The 27,189-nt window shown below is 38.7% G+C and overlaps 1 protein-coding gene across 2 annotated transcripts in view; it reads right to left on the bottom strand.

Moving 5' to 3' along the window:
- DNAJC3 (DnaJ heat shock protein family (Hsp40) member C3) overlaps positions 640–27,189 on the bottom strand; it is a 117,850-nt gene continuing 91,300 nt past the window's right edge. For both annotated transcript variants that reach the window (XM_011521104.3, NM_006260.5), the window contains 3 exons: positions 9,557–9,689; positions 8,473–8,621; positions 640–4,755 (listed from right to left, as the gene is read on the bottom strand). In XM_011521104.3, the coding sequence (XP_011519406.1) occupies positions 4,598–4,755; positions 8,473–8,621; positions 9,557–9,689 (440 nt within the window). In that variant the 3' untranslated portion in view covers positions 640–4,597. The remainder of the gene's footprint in view (positions 4,756–8,472; positions 8,622–9,556; positions 9,690–27,189) is intronic.

Here is a 27,189-nt window from a genome sequence, read left to right as displayed (position 1 = left end):
ACTCGGGAGGCTGTGGCAGTTAATTGTTTGAACCAGGGAGGCAGAGGTTGCAGTGAGCCGAGATCATGCCACTGCACTCCAGCCTGGGCAACAGAGCAAGACTCCGTCTCAAAAAAAAAAAAAAAAAAAGGAAGGTTTGAGCTTTCTGGAAAAGTTCTGTATACATTTACATATCGTAGCTCTCCTTGGATCTTTCTTAAGATATGCAGAATACATTAACTGAGAAGGCAGTTCCTTCTGTTTGTAGCTGGAAATTTGAGATAGATAGGCTATAGTGTCCTTCCTTCCTCCCAACTTAGGACCTTAACAGAAATGTACAAATGGGGTATAAAAGAGAAGAGAAAATCTTCAGACAAAGCCAATTTAAGTGTTACATTTTAATAGCACTGAAATGGAAGACTTGTCCACTTTTTAAGTCCTTAGTTGTCCTAGGACTTTTGAGGGTTAAGAGATTTTATTTTAGCCCTTTCTGCTTTGTGTGTTCTGACCTTCCCTGTCAACTTGTGTAAAGGAAGAGCCCTTTTGTCACCTCAGTCACTGGTTTTGCGTGAAGCAAAGCTGGAAATAATAGACTTTTCCTAAGACGGACTTTCTTAGAATTTTATACTCAAGGACAAAAATGAATCAAAAGCAAGGAAATACTGATATGACCATAAATATTTTTATTAAATGTGAAAATACACGGGCATAAAAATAGTACCCATATTTGTAGACATGTCTGAGACCCATTTCAAATATTAGGTTCCTTTTTTATTAAAACACTACATTGAGATGGATTAAGTTACTTAGTCTTTTCTCATTCAAAACAAACTAAAACCTCACAGCAAGAGTAATATTTTCACAAACATCTCCAATGTTTACCTCCTCCTTGCTCGGCTTTCCACTGCAGGTAAGTGTTTCAGCCACAGACAAGTGCAACAAAACCGGTTACTATACACAAAGCCACGCAGTGGCTAATTTTACTCTTAAATCAATCATTCAGCAAATGAGATCATCTGTAAACAAACAAAAAAAACCCCCAAATAATCCCACCTCTTAACGTCATTTGAAATTACAGGATAAACTGCCACTAACAAAAAAGGAATGATCTGATTTAGAAAAAGGATATTCGTTGTTGGCAAATTAACATTTGCCTTCTTCCTTCCTTTATAAATTTGGAAAAGTCAACTACATTCAACAAAGTTGCGTGAACTTCTCTAGGTGATACCATTGCTGTGTGCTCAGTGAAAACTTTGCAACGCCCATCACCAGGGCCGTGTCTGTAACCTCACCAGGGAGCCATTTTATGTAGTTTTTTCATGGTAAATGTCAAAGACAACTTCTGACCCATTTAAAGGTGAAATTTTTCATCATCCATTGTGAGTAGAAAATGGTATCAATTTCAAATTGTGGTTTTATTGGCTACCTTTTTTACCAAGTTATGTTTTCTCTTAAACTGTGGGTAGTTTTAAAATTCCATTATCAGGGCAACAAAAATTTGTTTTCATACCAATACTTTAAAAAAGATTTTTAATACTGACTAAAGAGAAAGGCATTGTAGAATTAGTAGTACGTTACATCTGATTCACATTAGTAAACTGTCAAGATTTTTTTCAAGTTTTCATCTATTCATGGTAAGAAAGCACAAACTTTCAGAACTGAGGAATGAATTAAATTTTGTCTCCCGTTTTGGAACCTTTTCACAATGCTTCTAGACTGATGTGTCTAATACTTCCTGCTGGGCAAAATATCCACAAAGTACAGACCACTGATAACTCCACCCATGAAGCTCACCAAAAAGGAAAGAAGAGCAGAATACAACAGCTGTGGCTAGGGTACGCCTCTCTGATTTCACTTTTCCTGAAAGAGCCATAAAGGTTACCTGATGGCCAGGCGCAGTGGCTCACGCCTGTAATCCCAACACTTTGGAAGGCCAAGGCGGGCAGATCACAAGGTCAGGAGATCAAGACCATCCTGGCTAACACAGTGAAACCCCATTTCTACTAAAAATACAAAAATTAGCCAGGCATGGTGGTGCGTGCCTATAGTCCCAGCTACTTGGAGGCTGAGGCAGGAGAACTGCTTGAACCCGGGAGGTGTCCCTGCACTCCAGCCTGGGCAACAGAGCAAGATTCTGTCTCAAAAAAAAAAAAAAAAAAAAAAAAAGGTTACCTGGCACCTGTAGTCCCCAAGGGAAAATGAAAGTAGTATGGTTTTACAGTGGATAATGCTACCCTACAGTGAGACAGGCAGGGGGAATGACTATCTCTTTACACACCCAGGCTGCTTCTCAGTCACACATTAGGGTAAGCAGGAGTGACTGTCTCTCCGTTTGGGTGGACACCAGAAAACTGCCGACAGCCATCAAGGCTGAAACTCAACAGTTGTTACTTTCTTCATGAATCAGCGAAACAACAGATTGCAGAGAATTCATTTCCCTCCATGGCACTGGCATGTGGCACCAGAGCTGCTTCTCTCTCTTCACTGAAAACAGGCAAGTAACTGCAGGTCAGTTAAGATGACTAAGTAAATCCATGATAAGAATTTAGGAGCTGAAACTATGGTTGTTACAAGTGGAGAAAAAATGAAAATGCAAACAAGCCTCTGGGCAGCAGGTGGGAGGTGGCCAGGCCCCCACACATCTCCTGTGCGGCCCTTGACCCCTTGTTGTTGGCAACTGTCGTGCTCTCCAAGTGGAAAGGCAAGTGATTTGATATTTCCTTTTTTTTCTGACTCTATGTGAAAATTCTTTTCAAAGTAGGTAAAAGCCATCACTATATTTCAAAGAGGTCACAGTGACATCATATACAAAAGGAACCAGATTGAAAAAGATATTGCTGACATAGCCAGTAGTGAGATTACTAAAGAATAAACAGAAATGCCTTGGAAATTATTTTTACACCGGCTTGAATTGAAACATTAAAGCAAAATGAAAGCTGTAAGGTGTTCACTAGTTTTCCAAATGCGTTGTCAAGTTTATTGGTAAGAAATAGACTCCTAAATAGATGCAGAAAGCACTTAAGTGTTCTGCTCAATTCAACTATGTGATTTTTGTCTCTCAGTTAAAAATTTGTCCACCTATGTTTCAGGATATGACTACAGACGAAAACGATTTGTGCTTTGCTGTTATGGATGTCCGTGGTCAGGATGCCTCCCACAGTGAATTAAAATGCTTGATTTCATTAAGAAAAAAAAATTAGACCCTTTAATGGTTAAAACACTTCAAAATGCTTTGAGGCAGAAACAAAACCTTTCCAGAATAAAGGTAGCAATTCCTATCTATCTAAAGTAATTCCTTCAGCTTTCAAATGCAGCATCAAGAGTGCCATAAATATTCAATATTCTTGATTAACATTTTTTAGGGAAAAAGCATTCAGTATACAAAGACTGAATAGTTCACTTCTTAAATAGTATCTTCTTAAAAGGTAAGAAGAACATATCTCAAGAGGAGATGCCATCTTATTAAATGAAACAACAGTGGAAATATAGCCAGACCTGACTAACCTTGCCTGTATTTTCTTGTAGGCAGGAGAAAATCAGAGGCATCAAGATCTGGTAGAAGGGCCGGTCTGCTGTTTAACACATACCAGCAGACAGGTCCCACGTGGGAGGCACCACAGACCTTTAAGATAGGGTGAAGCCTTGATAGAAGGAGAAACAGAAGCTGCCCACTGTCTTTACTTAGAAGTGGAGAACATGGCATTCTGTATTTATTTATGTTGACTGCGCAACTTTACGTTTCTAAACCAGTCTTGTTACATGAAATTCCCTATAAAAACTCAGAACTTCAGTTGTTTAAAAAGTATTTCAATCTGCACTTCAGCAATATTATTTTAAATACCACCACTATTTTATCTGAACTTATTTTACCTATAACAACTTTTAATTTGTTGTGTTTAATATTAAAAGGGTCCATAGGAATTTATAGATTCAAGTTTCAGTATTCTTCTTCAGGTACTGAACCAAAAAAATGTACATTTAACATTAATCCAAAGTCTAAGCCTGGATATATTATTATTTGGTGGCAGGGTTCCTAAAAGATGGTCTCTTGCTCCTTCAGTGACAGCCACGTTGACAGACCACAGAGGTGCAAACACATGCACACTAAAGATTTCACAGCTACTCACAAGTGACGAGACTGACCACATCGAAGCACAGTTGTCCCTAAGAACATACAGCTCAAAAATGTTCATGTTCTCTTTAAGAATACTGAAGTATAACCATCCTCATGAAGATTACAGCTCCTTCTTACACTTGTAGGCACTGACTTACTCTGCAAGGCTGTGAAGAGAAGAATCTCAGCTCCAGTGTAGAAAAATAATACAGAATACGTGAGCACTTCCACGGGTGAGCCTGCCTCAGACCACTTCCCTCCAGACAGCATAAAGCAGATGCAGGCTGCTCTGTCAGAAATAGAACCATTCCTTGCCTCCTTGCCGTTGCAAACCCATTAACCATAAATCTGACAGGGATAAGAACAGATTTTTTCCTATTAAAGCAACTCTTTGGTCATGGACAAACTGAAAAGATTTGAAATTTTTTTTCATTAGGGTCCCGGAACAAGATTTCTTTGTTTTTAATCTTTAAAAAAATTAAGAAGAGCAGAAAAACAGTTGGTTTAATTGAAGTGGAATTTAAATCTAAATGGTCCGCCTGAGCTGAAGGGATTGAACCCTTGCCATGAGTTCCAGCTTCTGTGGAAAGGGTTGCCGCCGCCTCCTTGCTGGCTCTCTGCATCCAAAGGATCTTCTCCGTCGTCAAACTTCTTTCTCATTTCTAGAAAGAAATCAGAAAATTAAGAACCAGATAATATCTAAGGTATAGGGGCAGGGGGAATGTTTTCTTTGGGCAGAGGAGGGTGGGTGGGCTTGAGGAGCTACTTACTTTTCGGTTATCAAGAGTTGTGCCTGACATTCAAATCCAGGCTCTCCCATTCCCACCCTGAAGAAACAGACTAGAGAAATTTGCCACAAGGAGGGTGAGGTTCAGGGTTGATAATAGGTATTTATTGAGATTCAGGCCCCTAAATCTCACTCCAGAAGAAGCCACCCAAGCTTGATAACTACCCAATGAAATTATTTGGAAAAAAATAATTCAAGAGAAACTTCCAAGAGTCTACAATTCTAATGAAACAGCCAGCTCACCACCCTAATCCCCAAAATAAAGTCTGTAAGGCAATGACCTCATCAAGCATCTAATGAGCATTCTAGCACTAAGGCTCCTCAGACATGAGGGGAGCGGGGCCTCCATAACATACAACTCCAGGAGGTTCACCTTTCCCTCCCATGCAATTGGTGCCCCCACAGCGGGGCCTCTGAGCCCCGAACAGAGAGAGATCAATGCAGAGACATGGGAGAAGGCAATAAAGAGGAATATTGCAGGGATAGGAAGAAAGAGCTCATGTCCTCAGAGTCATTAGAAAAACCCTGGAAGACAACCTAGGCAAATACTATTCAGGACATAGGTATGAGCAAAGATTGCTTTTGGTGTTTCCATCATGAAATTGCAACAAAAGCAAAAATTGACAAATGAGATCTAATTAAACTAAAGAGCTTCTACACAGCAAAAGAAACTATCAACAGAGTAAACAGACAACCTACAGAATGGGAGAAAATTTTTGCAAACTATGCAACTGACAAAGGTCTACAAAGAACTTAAATGTACAAGAAAACAACCCCATTAAAAAGTGGGCAAAGGACATGAACAGACACTTCTCAAAAGAAGACATATATGCGGCCAACAATCATATGAAAAAAAGCTCAACATCACTGATCACTAGAGCAAATAATTAGATCATTATTGCAAATAAAAAATGGCTATTATTAAAAAGTAAAAAAAATAGATGCTGCCAAGGTTGTGGTGAAAAAGGAACGCTTATACACTATTGGTGGCAGTGTAAATTCATTCAGCCATTGTGGAAGACAGTGTGGCAATTCCTTAAAGAAAGAAATACCATTCAACTCAGCAATCTCATTACTGGGTATACACCCAAAAGAATATAAATTGTTCCATTATAAAGACACATGCACATATCAGTTTATTGCAGCTCTATTCACAATAGAAAAGACATGGAATCAACCTAAATGCCCATCAATGATAGACTGGATAAAGAAAATGTGGTACATCTACACCATGGAATACTATGCAGCCATAAAAAAGAATGAGATCATGTCCTCTTGCAGGGGCATGGATGGAGCTGGAGGCCACTATCCTTAGCAAACTAATGCAGGAACAGAAAACCAAATACCACATATTCTCACAAGTGGGAGCTAAATGATGAGAACTCATGGATGCATAAAGGGGAACAACACACACTGGGGCCTATTGGAGGGTGAAGGGTGGGAGGAGGGAGAGGATCAGGAATAATAACTAATGGGTTCTAGACTTAATACCTGGGTGATGAAATAATCTGTACAACAAACCCCCATAACACACATTTACCTATGTAACAAACCTGCACATGTACCCCTGAACTTACAAAAAAAAAATAAAAAGACTTAGCATATAGCTAGGTTTTTTAATAAATGGAAAATAGAGAATGCAGAAAAAAATGCAAATATAAAAATAATCCCAAGTCTCGCTTTGCTCTCTCACAGTAACTTGTCCTTTAGGGGTTCAAAGATACTTAGAGAAAAGCCAGTTTACTTCATTCTGGGAGGTTAATCTGAAGCCACATATTTAGGAGGAGGAAACCCACCAGTAAAACTGAGGGTTCTTATGCTGAGTGTTAATAACTAAGCGGGTATTGTAGGTGATCTGAAACTCAGCTTTGTTTTATAAAAGCTAATGCAGTTAGACTCAGGCCCCATATCTTTGATATCTCACAGGCAAAATTAATCTAGGGTGTTAGCACTTAGAACAGTAGTGAACTCTCCGTAGGGGTGGGGGTGATAATGGCCCCAGAGAAAGGATGCTGTGAATGGAAGGGGAAGTGAATTCAGCTATATTCACATTATGTAATTACTTAAAAATTCAGTGGAGTGGTCTGCATACATCTCAAAGAATGAGGTAACCATTTTTCAATGAGAAAAAACTATAGCCAAGATTTATTTCAAGTGAAAATTAAGTTTCAGATTGGCATACATCATGTGATTCTACTAAACATATTCCTAAATATGACACGTCTTGATATATGCATAGTAAAAAACTTTAAAGTCTTTAAAAGAAAAGATAGTTCATCCTGAACAGAAGAACAGGAGGTAAGAAAAAGGACCTGCAGCTCTTTCCTCAGTGCATGCCTCTGTGCAGGGACACCCATCCCCTTGGTTGGCTCCCTGGTACCTTAAAACGTAGCACAAAGTCCCTCTCACATAAGAAGATCCTGACTCCCAGTCTGATACACTATCACACCTGTGCACTGCACAAACTAAGAGGATTGAACTGCTTAAGGCAGGTTGTAGCCACTCAGTATTTGCTAAGTAACAGGACAGTATGTATCCAACACTACTTGATAAGGGAAGTACATTTCTGTCTCCTTTACTGGATTATAAATTACTTGAAAACGAAGGATCATTTACTTTCAATTCCACTGCAAGTACATTTCTGTCTCCTTTACTGGATTATAAATTACTTGAAAACAAAGGATCATTTACTTTCAATTCCACTGCATAAGTAAGTACTCAAAAAAGATTTGACAAACATAAAACTTTCCTCTCTTTTGTTTGTTTAGCTCAGATCACAGCTGCTGTTCCCACTGACATGGAAGGCCACAAAAAAGCAGTATAAGCTTAACATGAAATTCTCTGGCAGCAGCAAAGCATTGTTCAGTATTACCTCAATGCTTAGCCTGTCTCCCTCTTAACGAAATTTCCAGGCCATATTACTGTATGGCAAAAGAACACATGTGGCCAGGTGCAGAGGCTCACACCTGTAATCTCAGAACTTTGGGAAGATCACTTTAGCCCAGGAGTTAAAGACCAGCCTGGGCAACACAGTGAGATCCCATTTCTACAAAAAATAAAAATTAAAAAAAAAAAAAACACATATAAGCCTGTGAATCTAATGATCCTATGATTCAGGGCAAGATTCCTGGTGAACACATATGGGGCAAAGCAGGCCCTAGGCCAGACAGCTGTTCTTCTCCCACTCCATGTAATCCAGCCTGGCAAGCTGGTTTCCTCATCAAGCTCCTGTAAGCTTGGTGGAGAAAATTCATCATTGACCTTTGAGGTTAGAGGGAACCTGAGAGATCCTCTTATGCTCAGTGTTGAAAAAACTGAGACCAAAAAGTTCTGATAACTTCTTTGAGTAGAAAAAAGATTCAAATTCAGGCCCTCTGATTCCACATTTGATAGTCTTTCCACTGTACCCTGCAACAGGAGGGTGCCCAACATAAGAGGGCTGAATGAGGGCAGGCATAAAACTGGACCTCTGGAACTGGGCTCAGGACCCGTCACTGCCTATACAGCCCCACGTGGAGAACCCACCACATGTTCCACCCTCGCTTCTAACACCACCTCTAGGATGAGTCAAAGGAATAAAAGCTAATAATACCTGGATCAGAGAGGACTTCTTTAGCAGCTGCTATATCAATGAACTTTTTCTCAGCTTTTTTCTTTTCTTCTTCATTCTGGAAGTTATCTGGGTGCCACTGCAGTGCTAATTTTCGGTATGCTTTAATAATTTCTTGCTTTTTGGCATTTCTGAGGGGTGGTAAAATAAATAATCATTAGTGGAAAAGTGTCTAACATACTATCATAAAAATCAGAAGAGCTGATTAAGATCCTACTGGCAATTAACAAAACTGGTTTTATAAAATAGTTCCAATGGTATCACAGGCCAAAGATCTGCATACACAGTTCTGGATGATCATTAAAGCTGACATCAGGCTTCCTTGGATACTCGCTCACTAAGATTACTGAGAATAAAGCACTCCTGATCTTTAGAACTTTCCCTTTTTTAAAAAAGGTACATCAATGAATTTTTTAACTTTCTGAATTTCCAAGTTACCATAATTCAATTCTTGGTATTAAAAAATATTTGACTCTGAATGCCACTTTCAATTATGCTTCTGCATTAGCTTACTTAATAGTAAGCACAAAGATTCCAAATTTTGAAAAATTGATGGTTTACTCAGCGAACCACTGGGAGGTATATCATTTACTTAATTTCAGAATTCACCCACAGGCACTGGGAGGTGTATCATTTACTTAGTATGTACTTTTATATAAGGTAGATCTTAATTTCAGACTTAATTCTGAAAGCACTACTTTATTTTTAGGCCTAGAGAAGGCTTTTTCTTTACTCATTCCGTCTCCTCCTCCATCCCCACCAAAAGGAATCTCACTCCTACCCCTTTACCCTTCTTAAAAAATCTAGGCTTAGGACCCATTCATGCTACAGTGTCATCTTTGTTGCCAACTACTAATTCTGTTGTTGCATTATTGGTCTCTATCAAAGAAACTTGCCTATAAAATACTCAAAGTAGCTTTCTAATGTTAAAGACTGTTAAGGTTTAATCCATATGACTGAAATTACATAAGTAAAGAAAATGAATCAGAGAGGAAAAAGAGCAATGATTAGCTTTGAAACAGAGTTGATTAAAAATAGCAAAGTAAATTTTAAATTAATAATTCACCTTTTTACTCCCAAGATTTTATAATAATCTCGTTTCTGCGACTGTTTCAATAATCTTTGTGCTTTCTCTAGACCTTCTCGAATCTGCTGATCATTTTCATTGTGTTCCTGAGCAGTTTCATAATCCTGAATAGCTGTCAAAATATGTTTAAGATAATATTGTTAAGGCAAATTATAATTTATTGCCTTTTCTTATCCTGTAAAATTGATGCTAAAGTCGTCATCCCCCAACCCCTTCACTCTTTGGCCATTATTGCCAAAAACCTTAAGTGATACCCCGTTAGTAACTTTGATCAAGAATATTTAAGAGGCCGGGCACAGGGGCTCATGCCTGTGATCCCATCACTTTGGGAGGTCGAGGTGGGCGGATCATGAGGGTCAGGAGTTCAAAACCAGCCTGGCCAACACAATGAAACCCCGTCTCTACTAAAAAAAAAAACACAAAAATTAGCCGGGCATGGTGGTGCACGCCTGTAGTCCCAGCTACTCGGGAGGCTGAGGCAGGAAAACCGCTTGAACTTGGGAGGCGGAGGTTTGCAGTGGCCGACATCGCACCACTGCACTCCAGCCTGGGTGACAGAGTGAGATTCCGTCTCAAAAAAAAAAAAAAAAAAAAAAAAGGTTTAAAAGGCATAATAATGAAAACTGAGTTTAGGTAGTTTATTATTCTCATTCAACAAAATGTACTGCTGTTTACTTGCCCACCCTCCCGCATTATCTCCCCATACCCTCTGGGTAAATATGTTAATATCAGCACTTTATCCAGAGCAATCTTACCACCATTAAGACTAAGTGGTTGTTACACAGGAAAGAAAGACAGTGATAAAGAAAATCGGCCTGGTCAGCTATGGATTGACAACAGTCCAGAAGAATTAGACATTTAGAAAGGGATCAGGAGGTGGGTTTGGCCAATGGGAAGCTAGAAAAAAAAAATTTGTAGAAAGAAAGGGAACAGAAGGAACTGTCCACAATCCGAATGACTCAGTAACCCACAGGCTTTAACACTATTACAAACCTAAGTGTCAATCAAAATACAAAATACATATAGTCCCAGTATAGGAAGTCTGCTGACTATCCACATTACATCTTTTATTTTATTACACAGTATTTTTTTTTAAAAATTTTAAGAGACAGGGTCTCTGTCACTTTGGCTGACTGCATCCTCGACCTCCCAGGCACAAGCCATCCTCCTGCCTCAGGCCCATGAAGTAGCTGGGACTACAGGCACGCACCACCACGCCCAGCAGTATTTTAAATACTTAGAAAATACAAGGCATCTGGGTATCTAATATGCAGAAGAGAGTCAACACAGCAGTCCTGAGACAACTATCCTTAGAAAAGTTTGCTGACAAGGTTGGCTTACTGCTGACGTTTGGGAAGCCAGATTTCAGGAGTGTTCCCAACATTCCATGGTAAGAATGACTCATGCCTGAACTGTTTGTATGAAAAATACAGTTTATGGTAAACATCTTTCCTTCTGGGAGTCTGGGATTTTGGTGCAGGCCAGACAGAACGTGTCTAGTGACTAGTTCCCCAAAAAAACTCTGGGTGCAGTGTCTATAACGAGCTTCCCTGGTAGACAACATTTCACACATTGTAGAATTTCTCATTACTGGAAAAATTAAGCTTGTTCTTTATGACGTCACAGGGAGAGAAGTCCTGGAATCTTCTGCCTGGTTTCCTCCAGATTTTCACCCTTGCACCTTTTCCCTGTGCTGACTTTGCTTTTTCACTGGAATGAAAGCCCTGAGTACAACTATATGCTGAGTCCTGTGTGTCTTCTTACCAGATCACCAAATCTGGGGATAGTCTAGGGAAGCCCCCACTCAAATTTTTCTCAATATTCTCCCTGCATAGATAATTCCAATAATAGATTGCTGGGATAAAATTCTTGTTTTTATGAAAATGCATTTCACTAGGATAAAAGACATGTGAACACTCATCTTCGCAACAGCTAAACATGGAGGGAATGTAAGGCACCTTGGACAGATTAAAATGAGAAAGATATTGGCCTAAGACTGAGACAGCCAAATGCAAAGGGGTTCCCAGAAAAACTCCAACTGGCCTGCACGCTGGGAGGAGTGTGCACTGGGGTGGAGCCTCGGGAAGAAGCCTGGCCCCTCCCTCCTCTTCCTGGATGGAACCTGGGATTCAATCTGCAAGGTGGGAAGCACACTAGCTGGGACTCTGGCCTTGTAGAGAGTCCTGTTTCCCTCTTTTCCTTTTCACCCAATAAGTCCTGCCCTCTTCAAATTGTCTGTGAGCCTCATTTTTCGTGGCCGTGTGACAAGGACCCCCTGTCTTTAGCTGAACTAAGGAAAGAGTCCTACAACAAGACTAACAGATTTTGACAGGCTACACACTACGTACAGAAACGAACCACCACCACCTTTGGCCCTGTGGCACTGGGGAAGGGGACCCTTCAATCTTTTATCCTAAAGTGAATTCTCGCATCAGTGCATCATTACATTAAATGTTACTATAGCCCAACCCACAGGGACATAAAAAACTTCTCCCAGTTTAGTATAAAAACAAAACCATCATAAACAGTAGTAAGGTTTAACTTTACAATGAACACCCATAACACAACACATAGCTTAGTAAGGAAACAGACCTTGAAGGAATACAATAGGAAGATGTTTCAATATACATGATTTTGCTACTTGTGCAGACTCTATATTTAAAACATGTTTTCATTCTTACATTTCAGAGTTATCTCCCCAAAGCAGTCTTTTGTATCGTATTTGTATTAAAATTTAAGGTGAACACATTTTTCCCAACATAAGACAAAAATGTAAAATTATAGGTTGTTTCCTATATTCACACAATTGCAGAAAACTAATTAGAAACCTAAGTATGGATGATGTAAGACTTCCCACAGATATAACTAGACAGACCATTTTAAGTTATACTTTCTCAGACTCCACACTCTAAGAGAGCATCTAAAAAAACAAAACAAAACAAAACACCCAATAGACAAAAAACAAGCAATGGGGAAAGGATTCCCTATTTAATAAATGGTGTTGGAAAACTGGCTAGCCATATGTGGAAAACTGAAACTGGACCCCTTCCTTACACCTTATACAAAAATTAACTCGAGGTGGACTAAAGACTTAAACGTAAGACATAAAACCATAAAAACCCTAGAAGAAAACCTAGGCAATACCATTCAGGACACAGGCATGGGCAAAGACTTCATGAAACATCAAAAGCAATGGCAACAAACGCCAAAATTGACAAATGGGATCTAATTAAACTAAAGAGCTTCTCCACAGCAAAAGAAACTATCATCAGAGTGAACAGGCAACCTACACGGGAGAATTTTGTTGCCATGAATGGGAGAAAATTTTTGCGATCTATCCATCTGACAAAGGGCTAACATCCAGAATCCACAGGGAACTTAAACAAATTTACAAGAAAACAACCCTATCAAAAAGTGGGCGAAGGATATGAACAGACACTTCTCAAAAGAAGACATGTATGCAGCCAACAGACATATGAAAAAAAGCTCATCATCACTGGTCATTAGAGAAATGCAAATCAAAACCACAATGAGGTACTATCTGACACCAGTTAGAATGGCGATCATTAAACAGTCAGGAAACAACAGATGCTGGAGAGGATGTAGAGAAATAGGAAGGCTTTTACACTGTTGGTGGGAGAGTAAATTAGTTCAACCATTGTAGAAGACAGTGTGGTGATTCCTCAAGGATCTACAACCAGAAATACCATTTGACCCAGCAATCCCATTACTGGGTACATACCCAAAGGATTATAAATCATTCTACTATAAAGACACATGCACAGGTATGTTTATTGCAGCACTGTTCACAATAGCAAAGACTTGGAACCAACCCAAATGTCTATCAATGATAGACTGGATAAAGAAAATGTGCCACATATACACCATGGAATACTATGCAGCCATAAAAAAGGTGAGTTCAAGTCCTTCACAGGAACATGGATGAAGCTGGAAACCATTGTTCTCAGCAAACTAACACAGGAACAGAAAACCAAACACTGCATGTTCTCACTCATAAGTGGGAACTGAACAATGGGAACATGTGGACACAGGGAGGGGAACATCACACACCAGGGCCCGTGGGGAGGTAGGGGGCTGGGGGAGGGATAGCATTAGGAGAAATACCTAATGTAGATGATGGGTTGATGGGTGCAGCAAATCACCATAGCATGTGTATACCTATGTAACAAACCTGTACATTCTGCACATGTATCCCAGAACTTAAAGTAAAAAAAAAAAAACACACACACACATCCAATGTTTATCCCACCATTACTGAACAGCTATGAAAAATAGAATAAGCCAGACATATATCAGCCCTAGATAAAGAATACCATGTTGCGTATTAGCCAATTCATTTTCTAACTTCTGAATCTAAAAAATCTTATCCCAAATTACTTTTCTTCTATATTCCCTTCACATTCTTGAGGAGCAATGCAAATCACCAGCTTAGGATGGGAGACGTAAGCACACACGTTTGCCTACCCTCCTTGCCACCGAAGTGACGAAAAGTAATATAATCATAGTAGCACTGAAGACAACAGCAGACCAGCAACTTTGATAAATTTCTGGAAGATAGGAAGCAGGAGCACATTAGTAATAAACCTAAGTAGAGAGAACCACAATGCAAGCACACACTATAAGAGGCCCTAGCAGATCTGGAAGCCATTATCTTTGGCCGAGGACCCTCACTTTGGCAAGCTGAAGTAGCTATAAGGCAACTGTCAGGATAGTCCGTGAGATGACTATGGGATGGCTGGGCAGGCTCTGGCCCCTGTATATGGAGCCACTGGCTGCAGCATTAATCCCTACTATAAGCAGAGTGAAAGGTGTGCCTGTGGAGGGCCCCTGTAGGACACGCAAACCTCTACAACAAACCTGGAACAAACAAAAAGCGGTCCCACCCAGACCAAAGTTAAATAGATCATTTTACTGACCCCCGATCAGTAAAATGAGTGAAGCAGGGCTCACTGGGGCAGCTGGGCAAGTGCCACTGGGGACGTTCTCCAGTGAACAGGTCCTATTTACTTACAGCCTGCCCTGAGCTCCCCAGCACAGACCAGCATTTGAAAGACAGGTGCACACAGCTACAAGCGACTCCCTCTCTCACCCTACCAATTCATTAGCAAGTTCCAAATCAGCTTTCCTTCACAATATAGCCACAGTTTAACCACTTCTCAGCATTTCCATAGTTAGCACTGTGACGCGGGCCACCATTCACCTGAATCATTAAAACAGTTTCCTAACAGGTGTTCCCAGCTTCCACCCTATTCCCCTAAAAGTCTACTCTCAATGCAAAGAAATCCTTTGAAAGAATATAGTATATCAGACCTCCAATATAAACATGTCCCATGGAACACCAACATTCTCCTGCTGCCTATCACACAAAAGAAACATATCACACAAAAGAAACAAGGTAAACAGACAGGGTGCAGCTCCAAATTCCATTTTCAGCAAAACAATACAAAGAAACTGTACAAGGGCTGCTGACAGGTGCTAATATCAGCCATGAACCTAAGACGAAGGGGGAAGCAAATAGTGAGAAAGCCAAATGGTAAAAGATCACAGAAAATGCTGACAAAATACACCTTCTATGAGTATGCGCTTACCCTGAAGTGACAACCTGTATCCCTTGCATATTGCAGGAACCAGGAAATCTAGAGCACACATAGTGGAGATAAAGCAGAGGGCTTACTGGGGCAAGACAGAGGTAAAGAAGAGAATACAGTGAGAGGGAACAGTGAAACAGCCTGTGCGGCAGATCCCAGAGAACAGCAACTCTATGCTCATCCTGAAGTGCAAAACACACACCCCTTTGGTGTAGCAAAGGAATGGGGTACAGGGGCAAGTGGGGCTGGTGGCAGATGACCTCCTGGCCATGGTTTGGTGCAGAGAAGTAGAGAGGGCAGGGCTATACAGCAAAATCATTTTAGCGGGAAGCAGAATGTCTGTGGAAACAGTGAAGCAGAGAGTACTGCGACTGTTAACTACAGAAGGCTGCCCTGGCCCCAGCACGCCTTACATGCAGAAAACAAAAAAACAAAACTGACATCCAGAGGACTAGCCCCACAAATAGCTAGGGCAGTGAACTCCAACTCATTTTATGATGAGTAATAATTTTTTTTTAACTGGCACAATATCACTTCAAAGATATTTTAAAAATCAGGAAAAGAACATGTAAAACTTATCTAATGAATGTTCATCAGAAAAACATAGCCAAAGCATACTATTTTCTGAATAGCCATCAGAAAAACAAAACCAGAGGAAATTCTGGGCAAGCATCATAGACAAATTATGTAACTTAATCCAATCACTTCCATTAAGAGTAATCACAAGGCAGAATCAGAACTCAGGAAAGAGACCAGATGACGAGGAGGTAAAAATGTGAGCAATCAGGACTCAAGAAAAATAAGAACAAATCAAAACTATCATAGACATGAAGACAAAACAAGAAAGAGGACAAGGGAGAAGATAAAAATGAAGGATCTAACAAAAGGAAATGGAAATAGAGAGTTTTAAAAGCCTGAGATTCATGTGTATTGCATATTACTTTCACAAAAATAAAAATGTTCTAGAGCTATGTTGCTAACAATGTCAATATTCTTAACTATATAATTGAAAATATTAGGCCGGGCGCGATGGCTCATGCCTGTAATCCCAGCACTTTGGGAGGCCGCAGTGGGCAGATCACGAGGTCAGGAGATCGAGACCATCCTGGCTAACACGGTGAAACCCCGTCTCTACTAAAAAATAGAAAAAATTAGCCGGGTATGGTGGCGGGCGCCTGTAGTCCCAGCTACTCAGGAGGCTGAGGCAGGAGAATGGGTGAACCCGGGAGGCGGAGCTTGCATTGAGCTGAAATCATGCCACTGCACTCCAGCCTGGGCGACAGAGTGAGACTCCGTCTCAAAAAAAAAAAAAAAAAAAAAAAGAAAGAAGAAAATATCAAAGATTATAAATTCCGTTATGTATTTTTTACAATTAAAAATAAAACAACCAAAAAAAGGAAATATACAAATCATAAAATAGGGGTAATATTTATACAGGCAAACAAACACAGAAATAATTATATTGGCTCTAGATGTATGGCTGATTCATATCTGACTTCTGTCCAAACACTGTCTTAATGTTTACAGAGTCAAATATTGGCATACAAAATTATAATACATAAATAAAAACTAAAAACACAATGTGACATAACCTACCATAAAACATGACACAGGAATATAAATTGGCAGAACAAAATTTCACAAAAAAATACTGAATAAACACAGTGTATTACTAAAAAATAATTCTAAATAGCTACAATTCTCAACTATGACTGCACATTCATAAAGGGCACACATTTTGGTGTTTTTCAATTCAATGTTTTTACTGTACAAACATCATTCTATTTTCTCTTTTTAAGGGTGTTAACTACTTTAGATATTCCATGTAAGTAGATTCATACAGTATTTTTCTGTGTGTGGCTGGGTTATTAAATTTAGCAAAATGTCTTCAAAATTTGTCTTATGGTAGATATTAGAAAACCTCCTGCTTTTTAAAAGCTGAGTAATATTCCATTTTTTTTGTATTCCAATTTATATGTATCCATTCATTTGGTAAGGGAAGTTTAAATTGCTTTCGCCTATTGGCTTTTGTGGATAATGCTTCAATAAATGGCGTGCAAATAACTCACCTGAGCATGTTGCCAGAGTTGCTGTCTGTGCTGCATTCTGCTTCACTGCTTTGGTGTTCAGCCTTTATACCAGTACCAAAGGGCTTTGGTTACCGTAGCTTTGTTTGGTGTTTGGACATTATTAAGTGTAATGTCTCCAATATTTTTCATCTTTTAAGATTGTCAGACTTTTCATGGTCCCTTGAGGTTTCATGTAATTTTGTGGGTTTTTTTCTATTTTCAGAAAAGTAAAATTGGGAATTGAAAGGTGTGCTGCATGTGTGGCTCACTCTGGGCAGCATGGCCATCTTCACAATATTATGTCTTCCAACCCTTGAGCAAAAGCATGCTCAAGAGCATGTTTAATTTTCATATTTTGTGAATTTTTCAATTTTCCTTCTGTTACTGACTTCTAGTTTTATTCCATTTGGGCCATAAATCATAGTCTATAAAATTTCAATTTAAAAAAATTTGTTAAGACTTGTGGTGTCACACGTGGTCTATCTAGGAAAATGTTTCATGAGCTATTGAAAAGAATGTGTACTCTGCTGTCTGAATACATTTGTTAGGTGTAATTGTTTTATAGTGCATTCAAGTTTTTTGTTCCCTTCTTAATATTCTATCTTGCTTTATTATTCATTACTGAAAGTGGGATACTGAAGTATCCTACCATTATTATATTGCTGTCTATTTTTTGCTTCAATTCTGTCAATATTTGCTTTATGTGTTTGGGAAAACTGATGTCAGATATATTCATAGATTCTCAATGAATGAACCTTTTTATTATAATTTAATGTCCTACTTTGTCTCTTGTGAATTTTGACTTAACTAAATTATATAAAATACTTTTTTAAAAGGCTGAGAAAAAATTATAGCTAATGATGACAAGGCAAAGGAAATACAATTCATGTATAACCTGTATGCAGAAAACTAAGCTGAAAAAGAAACAAATAGAAGAGACCAAAACAGATTAAGAAAATGTTCCTGAAGTGAAAGATGGATCTAGACTGAAAAGGTGCACTGGGTGCCAGGGCAGCCTGGCTGAGAATGGGCAACAAGAAGACATATCCTAGCATAATTCAGACTTGAAGATAAGGGCTCTTTGGACGGCCAGGCCAAAAACAAAAAACCTGGCCCCAGGTTTTCCATAACATTAGTCCCAGAAAAGAACAGAACAATAACTACGAGATACATGGCACAGGGGTGAGGGAAGGACTTTATTATCCAGCCACGCTATCATTCAGATATAAAAGGTACAAGTACAATCTGTATTGAACATAGAAGAAAGCAGGGAAAATTCTCTTAGGACCTCCCTGAGGAAACTACTATAAGATGAACTCACCAAGTGATGGCTGAAGAAACCATGGCCAAAGGAAAACCAGTAGACACTGAATTTCACGTAGAACCAAGACTAACACAAAGCAGGGGACTAACAGCGACAGAGCAGAGCGTGTGCCCTGATGGTGCAGAAGGGATACAGCTGACGAAACATGGGAAAAGAAAGGGGAAGGATGATGAGGGAGTAAGTTCATTCATTCCCACCTACATCAGCTGAAGCAATCAGAAAACATCAGCCACTGATAAATTGAGTAATATTACAAAGGCAAATCCTAAAAAATTTCCTCAACAAATTATTAAGAGGTGGAAGAACAGTGAGGAAGAGGAGGAAGTACACTAAATTTTCCCTCACAGTAGGAAACTAATGGATGTTGCCAAAATAGTGTTAATAAAACTATTTTTAAAAGTACAAAAATACAAACTTTCCTAAATATCAGGAGCGTATACAAAATACAGGCCAAATCGCAAAAAGATTTCAGCAAAACAGAATGATAGAATGTTGACCAAACATCTGTCATATCGATCAATGCAAATGTGCTAAACTAACCTATTTAAAAGAATTTCATTGGCTCAAAAAGGAAAGCCCACACAAAACATTTTCACAGAGAAAGCTGTCACTAAGCCACCTCCCAGTAAAGCAGCAGTCTTTCCAGAGATTGTTCCAAACTTTTACACCACAGGTGATTCCAGTGTCTCCAGAACACTGAAAAAAGAAAACTTCTAAACAATTGCACTGAATCCTTACCCTAATTAATAGTTTACTATACATAAAAGTCTGTGTTAAAATTCATTTTTCCTCTGAATTTCTGAGAAGCTGCAATACTCCCTTCCAGCATCAGACGCATTCATATCACTTTTTGAGGATGCACTTTAAGCAAAATAAAAAAAGAATCCAAGAAAGATGAAGACATTATATTAAATTTTTAAAAAGAAGACAGAAAAACCCAGAAAGGCAGTGAAAGGAGTTCTGGGGCAAAAGATGTGCAGCAGGCCAGGCACAGCCAGGAGTTATAGGGCTAAAGAATATCTTCAGAGTGAAAAGAAAAAAAAAGTATATATATATATATAAAAAGAGTATCTTCACAGAGAGCGGATCTCATTCATACAAACTGTCATTAAAAATCTCAAGATGTTCTTAGTAAGACAGAGGCATAGGTTTCTTCTGGCAGAGAGACAGTAACTCTAACTCGGGGTGACGCTTTCCAAAAAATCCTGCTCCAAATGAGAAGCATACTAAAAGTGTGGCCATCTGTGAACAAGAGACTCCATGTATCTGACCCTGGTTGGTGAAATGATTGCATCTCCTTCTCTAAGGATTCAAACACATGACTTGATCCTGCAGCTATACAATACATTAATCTACTAAATGGCTTTCATTTCCTTACTATACACAATTATAGTTACAGGAAATAATCTACATACTACAAACATTATAAAAGTATACTAACACATACTTAAAATGTAGCTGAAAGGTAAGATGGAAATATACTAATTTCCTTATTATCAGTAGTATACAATCGAGATGCTATCTAAAGGTGACAGGGTAAGAAAGAAACTTGGGTATATTAAAACTTATTTATATTACATTAAAGCTGTAAATATAAGCAAAAGATCAAATACTCAACTAAAACTGAAGGTGAGAAAGAACAAAAGGAACTAGTGAGGTCTACTCAGTTCTTCCTCTTCTGTAGCAGGCAGACAAGGGATACTGCCTAAAATTGATAAATCAAGAGCTAGAGGAAGACATATTTTAATTTCAATTATAGTGGTAACTAATAATTAGAAACTATTAAACTAATATTAGAAATTTATTTAAAACGTCGTTACAGTCAAGTGCAGGACATGCACCTACAGTCCCAGCTACTTGGGAGGCTGAGGCAGGAGGACTGCTTGAGGCCAGGGGTTTAAGACTACAATGCAATATAATCACACCTGTGAATAACCACTGCACCCCAGAGGGGATACTAGAAATATTCAAATAATCTAAATGACAACAGAAAGAGAGGAACAAAAAATTCAAAAACAAAAGGACAAAAAGAAAACAATAGTAAAATGGCAGACCTACATACAACCATATCAATAATCACAGTAATATTGATCAAGTAAACACTTCAAACACAGATTATAATTATAAAAATTGACAGAAACAAAGCAAGTTCCAACTACATGATGTCTATAAGAGACATACTTATAAAGGCACAAAGACACTCAAAGTAAATGAATGAAGACAGACACACCATGCAAACAATAAGATCAAGAAGGCAGAGGTGATTCTATTAATATCATATAAAACTTCAAGAAAAAGAGTATTGCCAGTGATCAACAGGAACACTGAGTAAGAATAAAAGTAAAAATTCATCAGGAGAACACTTGACAGTCATAAATATGTAGGCTGCTAATAGCAGAGCTTCCAAATGCTTGAAGGAAATATTGACAATATTAAAGACAGACAGGAAAGTTCACAATTTCCACAACAGATTATCAAAGATCTTAACAACTCTCACCTTATACCTGATGGAAAAACTAACAAATATTACACCCAACAATTGCAGAATACACCTTATTTTCAAGTGTACATAGAATATTCATCAAGGTAGATACCATGCTGGACCACAAAACAAGCCTAAATAAATTTAAAAGGAAGGAAATCACACCTAGTATGTTCTCTGACCACAATGGAATTAAATTCAAAATAAATAATAAAGTACCTAAGAAACCATCAACTATTTGAAAATTAGAACACCTATACATAATCCATGCATCAAAGAAGTCAGAAGGGAAATTAGAATACACTTCAAGCCAAGTTATAATGAAAGTAAAACAAAATGTGAAAGGTGCAACTTTAAATGCTTATATTTAAAAAGAAAGAAAGGCCTAAAATCAATGACTGTTCTAGCAAAAGCACAAGGTACAACCAAAGTAAGTCTAAGGAACTAAAGAGCAGAAATCAATAAAGTAATAAAGAAAAGCCATAGAAACCATTAACAAATCCCGAAGTTGGTTCCTTAAAAAGACCAACAAGGCCAGGCACCGTGGCTCACGCCTGTAATCCCAGCACTTTGGGAGGCCAAGGCGGGTGGATCACGAGGTCAGGAGATCGAGACCATCCTGGCCAACATGGTGAAACCCCGTCTCTACTAAAATACAAAATATTAGCTGGGTGTGGTGGTGCACACCTGTAGTCCCAGCTACTCAGGAGGCTGAGGCAGTGGAATCACTTGAACCCAGGAGGTAGAGGTTGCAGTGAGCTAAGATCGCTCCACTGTACTCCAGCCTGGCGACAGAGCAAGATTCTGTCTCAAAAAAAAAAAAAAAAAAAAAAAAGACCAACAAAATTGACCAAACTTTGTCTACAATGATCAACAGGAAAAAAAGAAAATACAAATTATTAATATTAGAAACAAAGCAGGAATAATCTTACAGACCTTATAGACATTAAATAATAAGATAATATTATGAACTTCATGCCAACAAATTCAGCAATGTCAAGAAATAGAAACATTCCTTAAAAGATGTAACTTACAAAAACTAACACAGATGAAACAGAAAATATTAATAGCCTTATACTGAATAAAACTAAATAAGGCCAGGTGCAGTGACTTAACGCCTGTAGTCCCAGCACTTTGGGAGGCCTAGGTGGGCAGATCACTTGATCCCAGGAGTTTGAGACTAGCCTGGGCAGCATGGCAAAACATCATCTCTACAAAAAATACAAAAACTAGCCAGGTGTGGTGGCATGCACCTGTAGTCCCAGCTACTTGGGAGGCTGAGGTAGGAGGATCACTTAGCCTGGGAGGTCGAGGCTGCAGTGAGTCATAATTGTGCCACTACATTCCAGCCTGGGTGACACAGCAAGACCTTGTCTCAAAAAAAGCAAAAACAAAATGAAAAAAAAAAAAAAAACTAAATTTGTCAAAAACCATCCTACCAAAAAAAAAAAAAAAAATCAAAAACCAACTTCCAAGACCAAGATGGTTTTACTGGTGAATTCTCTCAAACTTTAAAGAAGAGATGACACCAATCTTATATGACTCTTTCAGAAAATAGAGGAGGGACAATTTTGAACTGTTTGAGTCCAGTACATCCTTAACACTGAACTCTGACAAAGACATTACCAAAAAAAGTTACAGAGCAATTATCCCTCATGAACATAGGTGCACACTTCTTAAAATGTTAGCAAATCAAATCCAGCAATATCTAAATTCCTGTCCAAGAAGAGTTTATCCCAATAATTAAAGGTTGATTTAACTTTAGAAATGTCAGTTTAATTTACCACATTAATGGAATAAAGGGGAAAACATAAATATATAAATAAGTTCAACTCTGTAACAAAAAGAAACAGCAAATATTTTTAAGTGGGTAAGCATGTGCAGAATGCTTACTTCACAAAGTAAGATATTTAAACACAGAAACAACACATGAAAAGTATTCAACAACCTTAGTCATCAAGGAAACAAACATTAAAACCACAATAGATACTAACACACACCAAAATGGATAAAACTAAAAAGAATGAGAACACAAAATGTTTGCAAGGATGCAGAGCAACTAGAACTCTCATACTTTATTGTAGCTGTATAAATTATATATTACCTTAGAAAGAGTCTGGCAGTTTCTTTTAAAACTGAGCAAGCACCGTACACTATGACAGCAATTCTGCTTGCAGATAAACAAAAACATATGTCTAAAAAAAAGCCCGTTAGAATAATGTTCATAGCAGCTCTTTTTAATAACTAAAAAAGTCAGCTGAAGTGTCTGGTAATATGACAGTAGATAAAGTGTGATATATGCATGAAATGAAATATCCTTCATCAAGGATAGGATTATTGGCGAAACACTGAATGCTTTTCTGCTTTTTTATAGTGGAAAAGTGATAACAGTGCTACCAGCCCACCACCTGTTTTTCAAAATAAAGTTTTATTGGAACACAGCCATGCCTATTCATTTGCGTATTATCTATGGTCACATTTGCACTGCAATGGCAGAGCTGAGTAGTTGCAACAGAGACCACATGGTGCGCAGGGTCTCTATTTACTATTTGGCTCTTTATAGGAAAAGTCTGCCAACTTCTCTTCATCAATAAAAAGGAATAAACTGCGAAAACATGTAATAACATAAATAAATCTCAAAAACATGCTGAAGGAATGAAGCTTTATACAAGAGAGAACATACTATACATGGCTGTATTTATATGAAGATCTAGAATTGGCCAAGCTAATCCATGATGGAGAAAATCAGAACAGAGTTGCCTGTGGGGGGGTGGGATGGGAACTGATTGGTAAGAGACAAGAGGATAATAAAATGTTCTATATCTTGACAGGAGTTGGGTTAAACAAAGATTGTCTCCTTTGACCAGAAATTTGGTCAGCTCCTCTGAGTCTTCTTTCTGACTAGATCCAGACCCTAGGCTTCCCTCTCTGTTCCTGTGGAATCCAGCTTGAGCAAGAATCCTGCTAAATCAGTTTAGGGAAACCCCTCCCCACCAATATCTGTCACACTCCTCACCCTCCACTCTCCATATGACCCTGGCCTGCCTTCAACACATAGTCTGTTGACCTTAACTAGCAAGAATCCCACCCACTGACCCCCAACTCTGCTCCTTGGTTATAAATCCCCATTTGTCCTTGCTGGAGTCAGAGTCAAACCCAATCTCTCTCCCCAGTACAAGACCCCACTGCAGTGGCCCCTCTACCTGTCACCATAGTCCCCCTTGAATAAAGTCTGACTTACTGTCTTTAACAAGAGTCATTAATGATTTCTTGCTTTAACATGTCGCATGGGTATCAGACCTTAGGAATGGTATCCCTAAGACTTGTGCATTTTACCGTATCTAAAATTATCCCTAAAGAAAGAAAAAATGTAAGACAGTAAACAAATTCAAGTTAATGATATACAAGTTGAAGTATCTGGGGGAAAAGTAAACCAAATACCTTTTTTTAAATGCATCATAAAAAGATGAACTGATGGATAAATGGAGGGCTAGAGACAGATAAATGTGATAAGGCATAGTAAACTGTTAACTTCAGTATCTGTATGGTGAGGACTTGGGTGTTCATTGTGAAATTCTTTCAACTTTTCTCTTTATTTGAAATTTCTCATAATAAAATGTTGGGGGGAGGGTTTACCTGCTGTGAGACTGTCATAATATAAACAATGAAAATAAAAAATTTCCTACTACTACGTTTTATGCATATTCATCCTTAAGACAACAAAGGGAAAGATCTTATATCTAAGAACACTTAGGATACAGCCTCGTTATGAGCCCAGAAGTGTACGAGAGCTGTGAGCTCAGTAAAGAGGGCTGAACAATTTAAAGTCAGCTTCTCCCACTGAGGTAACTACTTCCTACACTAGATCACATTCTAACATCAAATCTGAGGGCAAGTCTAGCCATTATATTTTAGGCCGATTTAAACAATGAAGAGAGATAGTATGTTTAATTCTATATACAGGGGACGTAATTTGTCCTGCACACTAACTGAATCTGATACGCTAACATGCTCTATACATCTGTTTTGTTGACTTTATTTTTAGCATCTATTACATATGAGGCACTGTTAACATTTTTATAGGGGAAAAGAGATAAAAGTGCTAACAGTAAAATACAAAGAAAATAATTGCAGTTCTGTTGAATTATGAGATTTTAAATATTGTGCTGTACTTTATCAACACTTAAGAAATATCACCAACTCTATTCAAAGCACTAGAGTAGGCAGATACAAATATAGGCCTTCGTTCATATACTTAGTCTGTTTCTATTTAAGATGATGAAAAATCTTGTTTTTTTTTTTCCTTTCTTAAAGAAGCCTCTTCATTACTTGAGATCACACTCATTAGTCATAGGAAATTACAGTCTTGTCAATTAACAAAAAGCCAAAATGAACATGTATCTATGACTGTCTTTCTCTATTCAAACCTACCCTCTGCACTAAATCAAATGTGTCTTGTCACTGCTGGGAGAGGCAAAGGACCCCTCCACAGCTTTCTAAGCGTCTGTCCCAGCTATGCACCTGCAGTGACCTTCTTGATCCTTTTTCCTTAGCACTTTTTACTTCCAACACTTTAAGCTTTTCATAATTTGGAAATCTGCCTTGTATCTTTTTCTGAATAATACTGCTTGACTATTGTAACTGTTTCCTACTTCCTCACCTACATATTACGCTCATGGGTTCACAGAGTTGGCACCAGAGGGAGTACAATGTTTTACCCAGCTGATATGGTCAGCAAATGTGCTAATCCCAAACCAGCAGGTAGCTATGTAGTTTTCCTTGTAACCACACACTTTTCAAAAGAAATGAGAAGTCTGCAGCTGTGGCTGAGAGGCCCGAGTGTGAATAAAAACTGCAAGCATGACTTTACAGTTCAGGAAATGTACAGCCAAAGAACTTCATCAATCTACATGCCATATCCCACTGACTGTCTTTGCAAAGGACTAGCCATTTATTCTAACCACCTGCTTCCAACTAATTAGCTGAGCTAAGGTAGATGCACTTATTTCAAGAGGTGGAAGTTTCAGAAGCATCTGCTTTATAGATTCTGATTACATGTGTCCATGGTTATTATGATGTTGTATAAAGAATGGCAATATATAAGCAGCCTCCAACTTATAAAGTCACATTTAGTTAGGATCTTAAATACAATCAGCATCTTCCAACAAAGACCAATCTCTACCCCTTGTCCTCCACATAAACAGAAGCCAGGAACCCCTGGTTAACAACCTTGAAAAAAAGCATCAGCCATGAGAAATCTGATCTGCTAGAGGGAATGGTCTCTTTCATGCCCAGGAGGCAGGCCTGTTGCCCCAGTACCTCCCTCATAGGCTGCCTGACCTGATGGCACAAGCACTTGCCTGAAGTTCCACTATTCAGACTCCTTTGGGTTAAAAATGTTTATCTCATAAGGAATAGAAACCAATCAGTGTTTTCAACAAATATCTTAAATTTGACCACTCTTACTAAAACGCAGCTGTGTTGGTGGCTGAGACTGCTGATGCAGAGGTGGGATATATAGATATAGATATAGATTAGATATAGATATAGATATAGATATAGATATAGATATAGATATAGATAATTTTTTGGAGACTGAGTTTTGCTCATGTTGCCCAGGCTGGAATGCAATGGCGTGATCTCGGCTCACTGCAAGTTCTGCTTCCTGAGTTCAAGTGATTCTCCTGCCTCAGCCTCCGGAGTAGCTGGGATTACAGATGCATACCACCATGCCTGGCTAATTTTTGCATTTTTAGTAGAGACAGGGTTTCACCATGTTGACCAGGCTGGTCTCGAACTCCTGACCTCAGGTGATCCACCCACCTCGGCCTCCCAAAGTGCTGGGATTACAGGCATGAGCCACCGTGCCTGGCCGGTATAAATTTTGAACACAGAATACTTCTGCGGGATAGGGTGGGCCTAGGTAGTATAACAGGGTGGAGTCCCAGGATAAGCAAGAGGGCACAAGAATCTGCAAACAGGATAACACCCTAGGGAATCAAAAGATAAACTTTACCTCTTTCACAATTTTGCCCAGGCCAGCCTTCATCCAGAGAAAGCAATCTACTTGGCCCTATTCACAGAATTATTGATATTACTAGTAACACTTCAATAACAGCTGTGTCAAA

Source organism: Homo sapiens, chromosome 13 (genome assembly GCF_000001405.40).
Source record: "Homo sapiens chromosome 13, GRCh38.p14 Primary Assembly".
NCBI classification, from domain to species: domain Eukaryota; kingdom Metazoa; phylum Chordata; class Mammalia; order Primates; family Hominidae; genus Homo; species Homo sapiens.
The sequence above is the reverse complement of the archived record's forward strand: the minus strand, read 5'-3'. Positions and strand labels throughout refer to the sequence as shown.